The 14,232-nt window shown below is 38.6% G+C and overlaps 1 protein-coding gene across 28 annotated transcripts in view, besides 2 other annotated features; it reads left to right on the top strand.

The window, feature by feature from the left end:
- LMBR1 (limb development membrane protein 1) overlaps positions 1 to 14,232 on the top strand; it is a 224,172-nt gene that overhangs the window by 25,494 nt on the left and 184,446 nt on the right. The gene's annotated exons all lie outside the window — the stretch shown is intronic.
- Positions 2,777 to 2,971: a silencer, noted in NCBI's record as "fragment chr7:156657413-156657607 (GRCh37/hg19 assembly coordinates)". NCBI's record gives its function as "represses an EF-1alpha promoter that drives an FKBP-Casp9 reporter gene in an ReSE screen in K562 erythroleukemia cells {active_cell/tissue: K562}" and the evidence as "EXISTENCE:reporter gene assay evidence [ECO:0000049][PMID:32094911]".
- Positions 12,803 to 13,036: a silencer, noted in NCBI's record as "fragment chr7:156647348-156647581 (GRCh37/hg19 assembly coordinates)". NCBI's record gives its function as "represses an EF-1alpha promoter that drives an FKBP-Casp9 reporter gene in an ReSE screen in HepG2 liver carcinoma cells {active_cell/tissue: HepG2}" and the evidence as "EXISTENCE:reporter gene assay evidence [ECO:0000049][PMID:32094911]".

The following is a 14,232-nucleotide window of genomic DNA, read 5'->3' as shown; positions in this document are numbered from 1 at the left end:
ACGTAAATTGATTCATGTAATATGTACTATTTTATATCTAGCTGCTTTCATTTAAGCATGATATTTTCAAAGTTTAGCCATGTTGTAGCATGTATCAGTACTTCATTGTCTTTTTATGGTCCAATAATATTCCATTACTTGGATATGTCACATATTGTTTATTCATCAGGTGATGGACCTTTGGGTTGTTTCCACTTTTTGGCTTTTATGAAAATGCTGCTGTGAACATTTGTGTAGTTTTTGGGTGGACATGTTTTCATTTCTTTTGAGCATATACCTAGGGGTGGACATGCTGCGTCATAAAGTAACTTTATATTTAATATTTTGAGGAACTGCCAACCTGTTTTCCAAAGTTGCTACATCATTTCACATTTCTACCACCAATGTTTGAGAATTCTAATTTCTTCACATCATTATCATCACTTGTCATTATGATTTTTGATTATAGCCATTCTAGTGGGTATGAAGTGGTATTTCATTGTCATTTTGATTTGCATTTTACTGATGACTAATGATGTTGAGCATCTTTTCATGTGCTTATCGGCTGTTGTGTATTTTCTTTGGAGAAATATCTCTTCAACTTCTTTGTCAATTTTTTGTTGGGTTATTTTTCTTTTTATTATTGAGTTGTAAGAATTCTTTATATAATTTGTGAAAGTCACCAATGCTGTGGTAGAGTCACTTACATCCGACCCAAACAAAGTGGAACCGGGAGGTCATGACGAAGGTCTCACGCTTGTATGTCTGAGATAAGAACTATCACAAGGATCTTCTAAAAACTCATAAGAGGCTGGGCGCAGTGGCTCATGCCTGTAATCCCAGCACTTTGGGAGGCCAAGGCGGGTGGATCATGAGGTCAGGAGTTCCAGACCAGCCTGGCCAAGATGGTGAAATCTCGTCTCTGCTAAAAATACAAAATTTAGCTGGGTGCAGTGGCGGGCGCCCATAATCTCAGCTACTCAGGAGGCTGAGGCAGGAGAATCTCTTGAACCTGGGAGGCAGGTTGCAGTGAGCCAAGTTTGCGCCACTGCACTCTAGCCTGGGTGATGGAGCAAGACTATGTCTCATTAAAAAAAAAAAAAAATCCCCAGAAAAAACTCATAAGAAATTCCTGTATGTCCTACATGTCTTAGTCATCCTGCATATTCTGCACACATCTGTAACAGGGTTTATTGCAAGAAATTCCTCATGGATTTCAGCATTCTAGATAAGCCGCTCTCACAAGACGAACATTTGCATAGCAATGGCTGTCTCCAACAATGAATTAGCACCAGCATCTACAACTGGCCCCTGTAACTAATGATTTTTGTTTCAAAATAGCTTACGTAGACCTCTCCTCTTTGCCTTTAAAAGTTTCACCTTACTTCATCCTATCTGTATATGCCTTTGATCTGTTATAGCAAACATATCCTGGATTGCAATCGCCTGTCACTCCCAAATAAAATTTTCTTTTGGAGAGTTTCGTTGTCACTATTTTAGGTTGACATAATCTAGACATAAGACCCCTATCAGACATATGACTTCCAAGTATTTTCTATTCTATGGGTCATCTTTTTACTTTCTTGATTGTAGGACAAAAGTTAAATTTTGTTGACATTCAGTTTCTCTATTTTTTTTTTTTTTTGTCTTTTGAGATTTTAATGTCATATGCAAGAAGACCTTGCCAACTGTAAGTTCATGTAGATTTACTTCTATACCTTCTTCCAATAATTTTACAAGTTTAGCTCTTACATTTAGATCTATGTTCCATTTTCAGTTAATTATTGTGTATAATGTAAGAAGGGGTCCCATCTCCATTCTTTTGCATATGGATATCCAGTTGTTCCAGTACCATTTGTTAAAAAGGCTATTTCCCCCATACCCCCAACTGAATTATCTTGATACTCTTGTTGAAAATCAATTGACCATAAATGTAAGGGTTTGTTTTTAGACTCTTAGTTCTGTTCTTTTGGTCTCTATGTCTATTTTTATACTAGTACTACACTGTCTTGACAAGTGCAGCTTTGTAGTAAGTTTAAAATTGGGGAAGTGTGAGTCCTCCAGCTTTGCTCTTTTTTTCCACAGTTGTCTGATTTTTCTGGATTTGTTCCGTTTTCATGTGAATTTAGGATAAGCCTGTCAATTTCTGTAAGAAAGTAGGAACTGGAATTTTGATAGCAATTATATTGAATATGTAGATCAATTTGGGAAGTGTTATCCCATCAATATTAAATTCTCCAATCCATGAACATGTGATGTCTTTCTATATTCAGAAATTCTTTAATGTCTTTCAATAATATTTTGTGGCTTCCAGAGTACAAGTTTGACTCCTCTTTTGTTAAATTTATTCCTAAGTATTTTATTCTTCTTGATGCTATTTGAAATTGAATTTTTTTTTCTTTTTGAGATAAGGTCTCACTTTGTCACTGTGCCTGGAGTGCAGTGGCATGATCATGGCTCACTGCAGCCTGAAACCCCTAGGCTCAAGTGATCTTCCCACCTCAGTTTCCCTAGTAGCTGAGACTACAGGCGTGCAACATCACGCCCAGCTAATTTTTATATTTTTTGTAGAGCTGGCGTCTCTCTATGTTGCCCAGGCTGGTCTTGAACTGCTGAGCTCAAGCGATCCTCCTGCCTTGACCTCCCAAAGTTCTGGTTTTACAGCATGAGCCACTGCGCCTGGCTGAAAGGGAATTGCTTTTTTTTTTTTTTTTTGAGACAGAGTCTCGCGCTGTCACCCAGGCTGAAGTGCAATGGCGCGACCTCGGCTCACTGCAACCTCTGCTTCCTAGGTTCTAGCAGTTCTCCTGCCTCAGCCTCCTGAATACCTGGTATTACAAGCACCCACCACCGTGCCTGGCTAATTTTTGTATTTTTAGTAGAGATGGGGTTTCACCATGTTGGTCAGGCTGGTCTCGAACTCTTGACCTCGTGATCCACCCGTGTCGGGCCTCCCAAAGTGCTGAGATTACAGGCGTGAGCCACTGTGCCCGGCCCTGGAATTGCTTTTTAAATTTTATTTTCAGATTGCTTATTGCTAGGTTTAGAAAATTAAGAAGTATTCTTTCATTTCTAGAGCACAAATTAGGAGTTAGGATTTCTATTTGGTTTTATTCCAAGTATATAGAGGTATATGAAAATGTTATTTTCTCATAAAAACCTCTTTTCATTGCCTTATTTAACATTTATTGAGTCTTCATTCGTAACCTCCTATGGACCATATCTTCACCCTCCAAGGCATGCAGTGTGAATGAATTTAAAAATATATCATCATAGGTTTATTGTTTGAAACATATTAATATAGAGTGAAATTTGAATAAGGTGATAAGACATTTTTTCACTAACTTACAATTATCATATAGGCTGCTGTTAACTTAAAGGGCAGTGATTTGACAAAACCAATACAGATTATTACAACTGGTTCTAATTATGTTTATGAACAAGAGTTAAGATTATGAAACCAACCTTTTTTGGAGGCACTTGGTTAGAAGAGCTTTGTAAATGATTTTGATTTTCTTTTCACTAGCTATTTTTATTTTTTATTTTTTATTTTTTTTGTGAGACAGAGTCTTGCTTTCACCCAGGCTGGAGTGCAGTGGCGTGATCTCAGCTCACTGCAACCTCCACTTCCCAGGTTCAAGTGATTCTCATGCCTCAGCCTCCCGAGTAGCTAGGATTGCAGGTGTGTGCCACCACAGCTGGCTAATTTTTTTTTGTATTTTTAGTAGAGATGAGGTTTCACCGTGTTGGCCAGGCTGGTCTTGAACTTCTGTCCTCAAGTGATCCACCCACCTTGGCATCCCAAAGTGCTGGGATTACAGGTGTGAGCTACCACGCCTGGTCTTCTCTAGCTATTAATAACACTTATTAATACTTTTGCTTCATACTAAAATTAAAAAGCTCCTGCCTTATTAATCCTCTATATAGCCTACTGCAATGGTAAATATATTTAATGTATTTATTTTAGAAAGAGAAAAATTAAGTCAGAGAATGGCTAAAATAAAATAGTTTAAAAAAGAAAATGCCAGGTTCTGATAAGGATGGGAAGCAACCAGAACTCTCATACATTGCTGGTATGAGTATGAATTTGTACAGCCCCTAAGAAAACTGTTTGGAAGTATTTACTAAATCGAACATAAGCAAATTTTACCTTGCCGAGTGTATTAGCATGATGGAATATAGAGTGTCAACTTGATTGGATTGAAGGATGCAAAGTATTGATCCTGGGTGTGTCTGTGAGGGCGTTGCCAAAGGAGATTAACATTTGAGTCAGTGGGCTGGGAAGGCAGACCCACACTTAATCTGGGTGGGCACCATCTAATCAGCTGCCATCATGGCTAGAATATAAAGCAGGCAGAAAAAAAAAAAATGTGAAAAGACTAGACTGGCCTAGCCTCCCAGCCTACATCTTTCTCTCATGCTGGATGCTTCCTGCCCTCGGACATTGTACTCCAAGTTCTTCAGTTTTGAAACTCAGACTGGCTCTCCTTGCTCCTCAGCTTTCAGACGGCCTATTGTGGGACCTTGTGATCATGTGAGTTAATACTTAATAAACTCCCCTTTATATATATATATCTATTTGTATCTATCTATACATATATATATCTTCTATTAGTTCTGTTCCTCTAGAGAACCCTGACCAATGCAATTAGGGTTCTTAGCAGAAATTGAGCCAATGGGATTTGTACATATATACAGAAAGATTTATTATAAGTGATTGGCTCCGTGATTATGGAGACTGACAAGTCCCATGGTCTGCAGTGGGCAAGCTGGAGACCCAGAACTGTTGATAGTGTAGTTTCATTCCTAGTCCAACAGTCTCAAGGCCCCGGAAGAGCTGATGTTTGAATATGAGTCCAAAGGCAGGAAAAAACTGATGTATCAGCTTGAAGGCTGTCAGACAGAAGAAATTCCCTATTACTAAGTCTTTTTGCTTTATTCAGGCCTTCCACTGATTGGATGAGGCCCAACCACATTATGTAGGGAGAGTTCTTTGTGTTTTGGATGCAAGTCTTCTATCAGATACACTTTTTACAGAAATTTCCCACTAGTCTGTGGCTTGTCCTTTCATTCCCTTAACAGTGTCTTTTGCAGAGCGAAGTTTTAAATTATAATGAAGTCCAGTTTATCACTTTTTCTTTCATGGATCATGCTTTTCATATTGTATCTAAATAGTCATTGCCAAACCCAAGTTCACTTAGTTTTTTTTTTTTTCTATGTTATTTTCTAGAGGATTTATAGTTTTATATTTTACATTTAGGTGTATGATCCACAATATCGTTTGGCTGTGTCCCCCACCAAATCTCATCTTGAATTGTAGCTCCTACAATTCTCATGTGTCGTGGGAGGGACCCACTGGGAGGTAATTGAATCATGGAGGTAGGTCTTTCCCCTGCTGTTCTTGTGATAGTGAATAAGTCTCATGAGATCTGATGGTTTTATAAAGAAGAGTTCCCCTGCACAAACTTCTCTCTTTGCCTGCTGCCATCCATGTAAGATGTGACTTGCTCCTTCTTGCTGTCCACCATGATTGTGAGGCCTCTCCAGCCATGTGGAACTGTAAGTCCATTAAAACTCTTTCTTTTGTAAATTGCCCAGTTTCTGGTATGTCTTTATCAGCAGCGTGGAAACAGGCTAATACAGTAAATTCATACCAGGAGAATGAGACACTGTTGAAGATACCCAAAAATGTGGAAGTGACTTTGGAACTGGGGAACAGAGAGTGGTTGGAACAGTTTGGAGGGCTCAGAAGAAGACAGGAAAATGTGGAAAAGTTTGGATCTCCCTAGAGACTTGTTGAGTGGCTTTGACAAAAATGCAGATAATGATATGGACAGTGGAATCCAGGCAGAGGTGGTCTCAGATGGAGAGGAGAAACTTGTTGGGAAGTGGAGCAAAGGTGACTCTTGTTATGTTTTAGAAAAGAGATTGGTGACATTTTGCCCCACCCTAAAGATTTGTTGAACTTTGAACTTGAGAGAGATGATTTAGGGTATCTGGTGGAAGAAATTTCTAAGCAGCAAAGCATTCCAGAGGTAACTTGGGTGCTGTTAAAGGCATTCAGTTGTAAAAGGAAAACAGAGCATAGAAGTTTGGAAAATTCGCAGCCTGACAATGAGATAGAAAAGAAAACCCCATTTTCTGAGGAGAAATTCAAGCTGGCTGCAGAAATTTGCATAAGTAATGAGGAGCTGAATGATAATCCCCAAGACAAGGGGGAAAATGTCTCCAAGGCATGTCAGAGACCTTTGTGGCAGCCCCTCCCATTATAGGCTGGGAGGTTTAGGATGAAAAAATGGTTTCATAGGCAGGGCCCAGGGCCCCCCTGCTCTGTGCAGCCTCAGGACTTGGTGCCTTGAGTCCCAGCTGTTCCAGCTGTGACTAAAAGGGGCCAAACAACAGCTGGGTCTGTTGCTTCAGAAGGTTCAAGCCCCAAGCCTTGGCAGCTTCAACATGGTGTTTAGCCTGCGGGTGCACAGAAGTCAAGAATTGAGGTTTAGGAATTTCCACCTAGATTTCAGAGGATGTATGTATGGAAATGCATGGATGCCCAGGCAGAAGTTTGCTTCAGGGGCTGGGCCCTCATGGAGAACCTCCGCTAGGGCAGTGCAGAAGGGAAATGTGGGGTTGGAGCCACCACACAGAGTTACTACTGGGACACCACCTAGTGGAGCTGTGAGAAGAGGGCCACCATCCTCCAGACCCCAGAATGGTACGTCCACTGACAGCTTGCACCATGCGCCTGAAAAAGCTGCAGACACTCAATGCTAGCTGGTGAAAGCAGACAGAAGGCTATCCTCCGCCACAGGGGCGGAGCTGCCCAAGGCTGTAGGAGCCCACCTTTTGCATCAGTGTGACCTGGATGTGAGACATGGTGTCAAAGGAGACCATTTTGGAGCTTTAAGATTTGACTGCCCCACTGGATTTCAGACTGCATGGGGCCTGTAGCCCCTTTGTTTTGTCCAGTTTCTCCCATTTAGAATGGCTGTGTTTACCCAATGCTTGTACCCTCATTGTGTCTAGGAAGAAACTAACTTGCTTTTGATTTTACAGGCTCATAGGCAGAAGGGACTTGCCTTGTCTCAAATGAGACTTTGGACCATGGACTTTTGAGTTAATGCTGAAATGAGTTAAGATTTTGGGGGACTGTTGGGGAGGCATGATTGGTTTTGAAATATGAGGACATTAGATTTGGGAGGGGCTGGGGTGGAATGATTTGGTTTGGCTGTGTCCCCTACCAAATCTCATCTTGAATTGTAGCTCCCACAATTCTCACGTCATGGGAGGGACCCAGTGGGAGGTAATTGAATCACGAGGCGGGTCTTTCCCGTGCTGTTCTTGTGATAGTGAATAAGTCTCATGAGATCTGATGGTTTTATAAAGAAGAGTTCCCCTGCACAAACTCTTCTCTTTGCCTGTTGCCATCCATGTAAGATGTGACTTGCTCCTCCTTGCCTTCCGCCATGATTGTGAGGCCTCCCCAGCCACGTGGAAGTGTAAGTTCATTAAACCTTTTTTGTAAATTGCCAGTTTCTGATATGTCTTTATCGGCAGTGTGAAAACAGACTAATACAATCTATTTTGAGTTAATTTTGGGAACGCCATAGGGTCTATGTCTTGATTCATTTTGTTGTACGTGGATGTCCAGTTGTTATAGCACCGTTTGTTGAATAGACTATTCTTTCTTCATTGCTTCTTTGACAAAGATCAGTTGTCCATATTGTGTGGGTTTATTTATCAACTCTCTATTCTGTTCCATTGATCTTTTTCTATTCTTTCACCAAAATCATAGTCTTGATTATTGTAGGCCTATAAGTCTCCTGAAGTCAGGTAATGTCAGTCCTCCAATTTGTTTTTCTTCAGTATTGTGTCACCTATTCTAGGTCTTTTGCCTTTCAGTATAATTTTAGAATTATTTTCTTGATATCCAGAAAATAATTTACTGGGATTTTGATTGGGGTTGTGTGAATCTGTAGAGTAGATTGGGTAGAACTGACGTGTTAACAACAGCAAATCTTCCTTCTGTGAATGTGGAATACCTCTCCATTAATTTAGATATTTTTAAAATCAGAGTTTTGTAGTTTTATATCCAAGTAATTCTTTTTTGGGGCTGCTAATGTAAATGGTGGTTTTTTTTTTTATTTCAAATTCCAGTTGTTAATTGCTGGTATATAGGAAAGCAATTTATTTTTGAACATTAACTTTTTATCCTGCATCCTTGCTTATTAGTGCCAGGAATTTTTGTTGATTCATTAGGATTTTCTACATAAACAATCATGTCATCAGAGAACAAAGAGAGTTTTATTTCTTTCTTCCAAATATGTATGCCTTTTATTTCCTTTTCTTGTCTTACTGTATTAGCTAGGACTTCCAGTATGATACGGAATAGGAGTGTTGAGAGGAGATATCTTTGCCTTGATTCCAGTCTTGGGAGAAAGATTCTAGTGTTTTTTTTTTTTTTTGAGACGGAGTTTCACTTTTGTTGCCCAGGCTGGACTGCAATGGCGCAATCTCGGCTCACTGCAACCTCCACCTCCTGGATTCAAGCAATTCTCCTGCCTTAGTGAGTAGCTGGGATTACAGGCATGCGCCACCACACCTGGCTAATTTTGTATTTTTAGTAGAGACAGAGTTTCTTTATGTTGATCAGGCTGGTCTCAAACTCCTGACCTCAGGTGATCTGCCTGCCTCGGCCTCCCAAAGTGCTGGGATTACAGGTCTGAGCCACCGTGCCCAGCCCTAGTTTTTTTAATCATTAAGTATGATGTTAGCTGTGGGGTTTTTGTAGACATTCTTTATCAAGTTGAGAATTTTTTTTTTATTCACAGGTTTCTGAGAATCTTGATCATGAATGGCTGTTGGATTTTTGTCAGATGATTTTCCTGCATCTATTGATAGGTTATGTTTCATCTTTAGCCTGTTGGTGTGATGGATTGTATTAATTGATTTTTGAATGTTGAATCAGGTTTGCATAACTAGATAATTCCCACTTGGTTGTGGTATATAATTCTTTTTATATACTGTTGGATTCAGTTTGCTGATATTTTGTTGAGGAACTTTGCATGTGTGCTCATGAGAGAGATTTGTCTGTAGTTTTCCTTTATTTCAATGCCTTTATTTCATTTTGGTATTAGGGTAATGTTGACCTCATATAGTGTGTTAGAAAGCATTCCCTCTGCTTCTGTTATCTGTAAGATATTTTGGAGAATTGTATCACATCTTCCTTAAATTTGGTAGAATTCAAAAGTGAAACTATCTGGGACTGGTGCTTGGAAGATAATTGTTGATTCGGTTTCTTTAATAGACATAGAACTAGTAATATGATTTGTTTGACTTGGAAGTTTTGGTAGATTATGTCTTTGAAGGTATTTATTCATCTAAGTTTTCAAATTTGTGGGCACGGAGTTCATAATATTCCTGTAATTTTTTTTTGGTGTCTGTGGAAACAGGAGTAATGGCCCCTTTTTCATTTTCATGTGTTAGTAATTTGTGTTCTTTTTCTACTTGGTTGGCCTGGCTAGAGGTTTATCAATTTTATTGCACTTTTTGATGAACCAGCTTTTGATTTTGTGAATTTTAAAATTGATTTCCTGTTTTCATTAATTTGTGCTTTTTTTAAACTTTTTTTTTTTTTTTTTGCTTACTTTGGAATTACTTTGCTCTTTTTTTTTCTAGTTTCCTAAGGTGTAGAAGCTTATTCAATTTAGATATTTCTTCTTCTGTAATGTAGCAATTCAGTGCTATACATTTCCCTCTAAGCGCTGCTTTTGCTGCATCTCACACATTTTCATAAGATTTATTTTCATTTTCATTTAGTTCAAAATATTTTAAAATTTGTTTTGAGACTTCTTTGATGATGTGTTATTTAGAGGCTTTTTGTTTAATCTCCAAGAAGTTTTCCAGCTATATTTCAGTTACTGATTTATAGTTTAATTCTATTGTGATCTGAGAGCATAGTTGTTAGGAATTATATTGTTTTAAATTTGTTAAGGTATTCTTTATGAACCAGAATATGATATGTCTTAGTGAGTGTTTTCACGTGAGCTTGAGAAGAATGCATATTGTGCTATTGTTGGATGAAATATTCTATAAATGTCAATTAGATCCAGTTGATAGATGATGCCGTTCAGTTCAACTATGTACCCTTACTGATTTTCTGCCTGCTGCATCTGCCAATTACTGATAGAAGGATGTTGCAGTCTCCAACTATAATAGTAGATTCATCTATTTCTGTTTACATTTTTGTCCATTTTCACCTCACGTATTTTGACATTTTGTTAGTTCTTCTTGGAAAATTGACCCCTTATTACTATGTATTGCTGTTCTTTGTCCTGATAATTTTCTTTGCTCTGAAGTCTGCCTTGCCTGAAATTAATATAGCTGCCGTTCTCTTGATTATTGTTAACATGGTTTGTCTTTCTCTGTCACTGTACTTTTAATCTGTCTTAAAATACTTTTTTATAGACAACATATAGTTAAGTATTTTTTATCCACTCTGTCTCTTTTAATTGGTATATTTAGACCATTCATATTAAAGTGATCATTGATATTATTGGTTTAATATTTACCATAGTTTTAACTATTTTCTATTGTCCTTGTTCTTGGTGGTTTTTTTGGTCTTTTTTTCTGTCTTTGGTTCTAGCTGAGCATTTTATGAGTCTGTTTTCTTTCCTCTCTTAGCATATCAATTATACTTCTTTCAAAATATTTTCAGTGGTTGCCCTTGAGTTTGCAATTTACATTTGCAAGTAATCTACCTTCACTTTCACATAACATTGTATTGCTTCATGAGTAGTGCAGGTACATTATGAGAGAATATTCCTAGTTCCCCTCTTGCTGTCATTCATTTCACTTATCTAGAGGCTGTTATCACCAAATACATTATTGTTATTATTACTTTCAATAAATTGTTGTCTGTTAGATTAAGAAAAAGAAAATAAAAGACTTTATTTTACCTTCACTTACTCCTTCTCTAATGATCTTTCTTTTCTTTTTTTTTTTGTTTGAGATGGAGTCTCACTCTGTCGCCTAGGCTGGAGTGCAGTGGTGTGACCTCTGCCTCTCAGATTCAGGCAGTTCTTGTGCCTCAAGTCTCCTGAGTAGCTGAGATTACAGGCACATGCCACCATGCCCAACCAATTTTTGTATTTTTAGTAGAGATGGGGTTTCTCGATGTTGGCCTGGCTGGTTTCAATCTCCTGGGCCCAAGTGATCCACCCACCTTGGCCTCCCACAGTGCTGGGATTACAGCCATGAGCCCAGCCACCGTTCATGACACTGGCCTAATGATCTTTCTTTACATAGATTTGAATTTCTGTCCTGTGGTCATGTTCTTTTATGAAGATCTTTTAAAATTTCTTGCTAAGCCACCTGTGCCTCCAGTAAAAACAAAAAAAGAAAAAAAATTCTTGCTAATTAAGTCTATTGGCAACAAATTCCTTCAGTTTTCTTTTGTCTGACAAATTCTATCTATCTATCTATCTATCTACCTATCTGTCTATATTTATTTATTTATTGAGACAGAGTCTTGCTCTGTCGCCCTGGCTGGAGTGCAGTGGTGCGATCTCGGCTCACTGCAAGCTCCGCCTCCCAGGTTCACGCCATTCTCCTGCCTCAGCCTCCTGAGTTGCTGGGACTACAGGCACCCGCCACCACACCCGGCTAATTTTTTGTATTTTTAGTAGAGACAGGGTTTCACCTTGTTAGCCAGGATGGTCTTGATCTCCTGACCTCGTGATCTGCCCGCCTCGGCCTCCCAAAGTGCTCTCCTTTATTTTTGAAAGATAATTTTGCTGGATACAGAACTTTGGGTTGGTGTTTTCATTTTTCGTTTTTTCCTTTTAACATTTGAAATATTTTACAGCTTTCTTTTTGCTTGCATGGTTTCTGAAGAGAAGTCTGATGCAATTCTAATCTTTGATCCTCTATTTGTAAGGCATTTTTATTCCTGTAGCTTATTTCAAGATATTCTCTTTATCTTTGATTTTCTGCAGCTTGCAGCATATGATATGCCTAGACATAGGTTTTTTTTTTTTTTTTTTTTTGTATTTACGTTGTTTGTTGGTCTGTGAGCTTTCTGGATCTGTTAGGTGTTTGTATTAATTTTGGCAAATTATCAGCCATTATCACTTGAAATATTTTATCTGTTGCTTTCTGTCTTTTTTTCTGGTATTCCTGTTACGTATGTTATGCCTTTTGTAATTGTTCTGTACTTCTTGGCTATTCTGTTTCTTTTCAGAATTGTTATTTTTTCTGTTTGCTTTTCAGCTTGGGAAGTTTCCATTGACATATCTTCTAATTGACTAATTGCTATGGTGTTAAGAGATGGGGAGAGGGGAACATTGTGTAGTCTTGTGATTAGGTCTCAGTCTTTTATTGAGCCTATGCCTCTGGTCTGTGACCTTCACAGGTGTCTAGTCTACTGATGAGCTCATTAAAGCATTCTTCATTTCTGTTACAGTATATTTGATTTCTCCCATTTAAAAAAATTATTCTTAACATTTCCATGTCTTTGCTGACATTACACACATATTTTTGAATGTTGTTTACTTTTCCACCTTTGCATATTAATAATTAAATTCAGACTCTCATAATCCCCAAATCTCTGTCATATGTGAGTCTGGTTCTGACTCTTTGACTCTTTAGATTGTGATTTTTGCATTTGAGCATGCTTCGTATTTTGTGGGAAGCCGGATACGATGTAGATAAAAGGGATTGAGGTAATTTGGCCTTTACTGTTAGATTTTATGTTTATGTATGTGTGAGTTAGGCTGCTTACTGTTTGAAGTAGCTACAGGTTTCAGAGGGTATAATTTCCCCTAGTGTTCTTGTTTTTATCTCTTCTGTTGTCTTTGGTTTCCCCTAGAGACTACTTCTTAAATAGAATTTGAGCCTTGCAGTTCTTTTAGCTGTAATCTCCTGTTATTATACTCCAGCCTGATTGAGGGGAACATTTTGTAGTCTTGTGATTAGGTCTCAGTCTTTTATGGAGCCTATGCCCCGGTCTGTGACCTTCACAGGTGCTACTCGGCTTTTGACCTCCTTCCTTAGGTGAAGAAGGCTAGAGGGGGCTGAAGCTGGGTGTCTCTCTTCTTCCAGGTTGATTAGGCTCTGATAAAATTCAAATAGGTTAAGCTGTGGGTACAAATGGTTTCTCTTGCAGACGGGCCTTTCTTGAGGTGAACAGCATGCCCTGGGCATATTTCAGAATGTTTACGTTTTCCTTTTCCTGCTGGAAGCTTGAAGGGATTTTATTTTTTTATTATTATTTTTTAATTAACAGTTTCCCTAATCTTTACTCTGAGAATCTGGTAGGACTCCTGAAGGAAAAACTTTAAAAAAGTGTGGGAGTCCCCCCTGAGACTAGACTTCTGGAGTTTTTCTCTCTCTAGTTAGTCCACACTGATCCTCTAGTAATTCATCAATTACAGTTGAAGTGTTTTACCAGTGCTGGCTCTAGCAGCAGGCTTCTGTACAAGGGCTTTTGTCTCTCCACTTTTTAGAGCAGTAGTTTGCCCTGTAATTTAACTTCTTTTATGGATTTAAGAAGAGTTGTTGACTTTCAGTTTGTTCAGTTTTTTTCTTGTTACGAGGATGGGAAAGATGACTTCCAAGCTCCTTTCATGTTGGACTGGAAGCCAGAAGCCACTATGTTATCTTTTACCTTTATGTCTGATTTACTTGAAGATTGCTTTTAGTGTATGGCATATGATGTATATAGGTGGTTTTTTTTTTTTTTTTAATTTTATTCTATGTGGGCCAGGCACGATGGCACATGCCTGTAATCCCAGCATTTTAGGAGGCTGAGGTGGGTGGATCACCTGAGGTAGGAGTTCGGGACCAGCCTGGCCAACATGATGAAGCCCCATCTCTACCAAAAATACAAAAATTAGCCGGGTGTGGTGGCAGGTGCCTGTAATCCCAGCTACTTGGGAGGCTGAGGCGGGAGAATTCCTTGAACCCAGGAAGTGGAGGTTGCAGTGAGCTGAGATCACGCCACTGCACTCCAGTCTCAGTGACAGGATGACACTTTGTCTCAAAAAACAAAAACAAACAAAAGCTTTATTCTATGTGGTGACTTCCTTTGGGTTCATCATTTGGCAGCTGCTTGAGAATCTTCATTTGATACCCAGTTTCTGCATAGATTTAATCCAGAGAAGTTATTCTAGGACTTTTAGAAAGTGGTTCTATTTTACTTTTAATTTTAAATACAGTTTTGGATGGCATGACAAAAATTAGTGTAAATGTTTTTCT

This window comes from Homo sapiens, chromosome 7 (genome assembly GCF_000001405.40).
Source record: "Homo sapiens chromosome 7, GRCh38.p14 Primary Assembly".
Lineage (NCBI taxonomy): Eukaryota > Metazoa > Chordata > Mammalia > Primates > Hominidae > Homo > Homo sapiens.
This window is presented reverse-complemented; position numbering and strand designations above follow the sequence as displayed.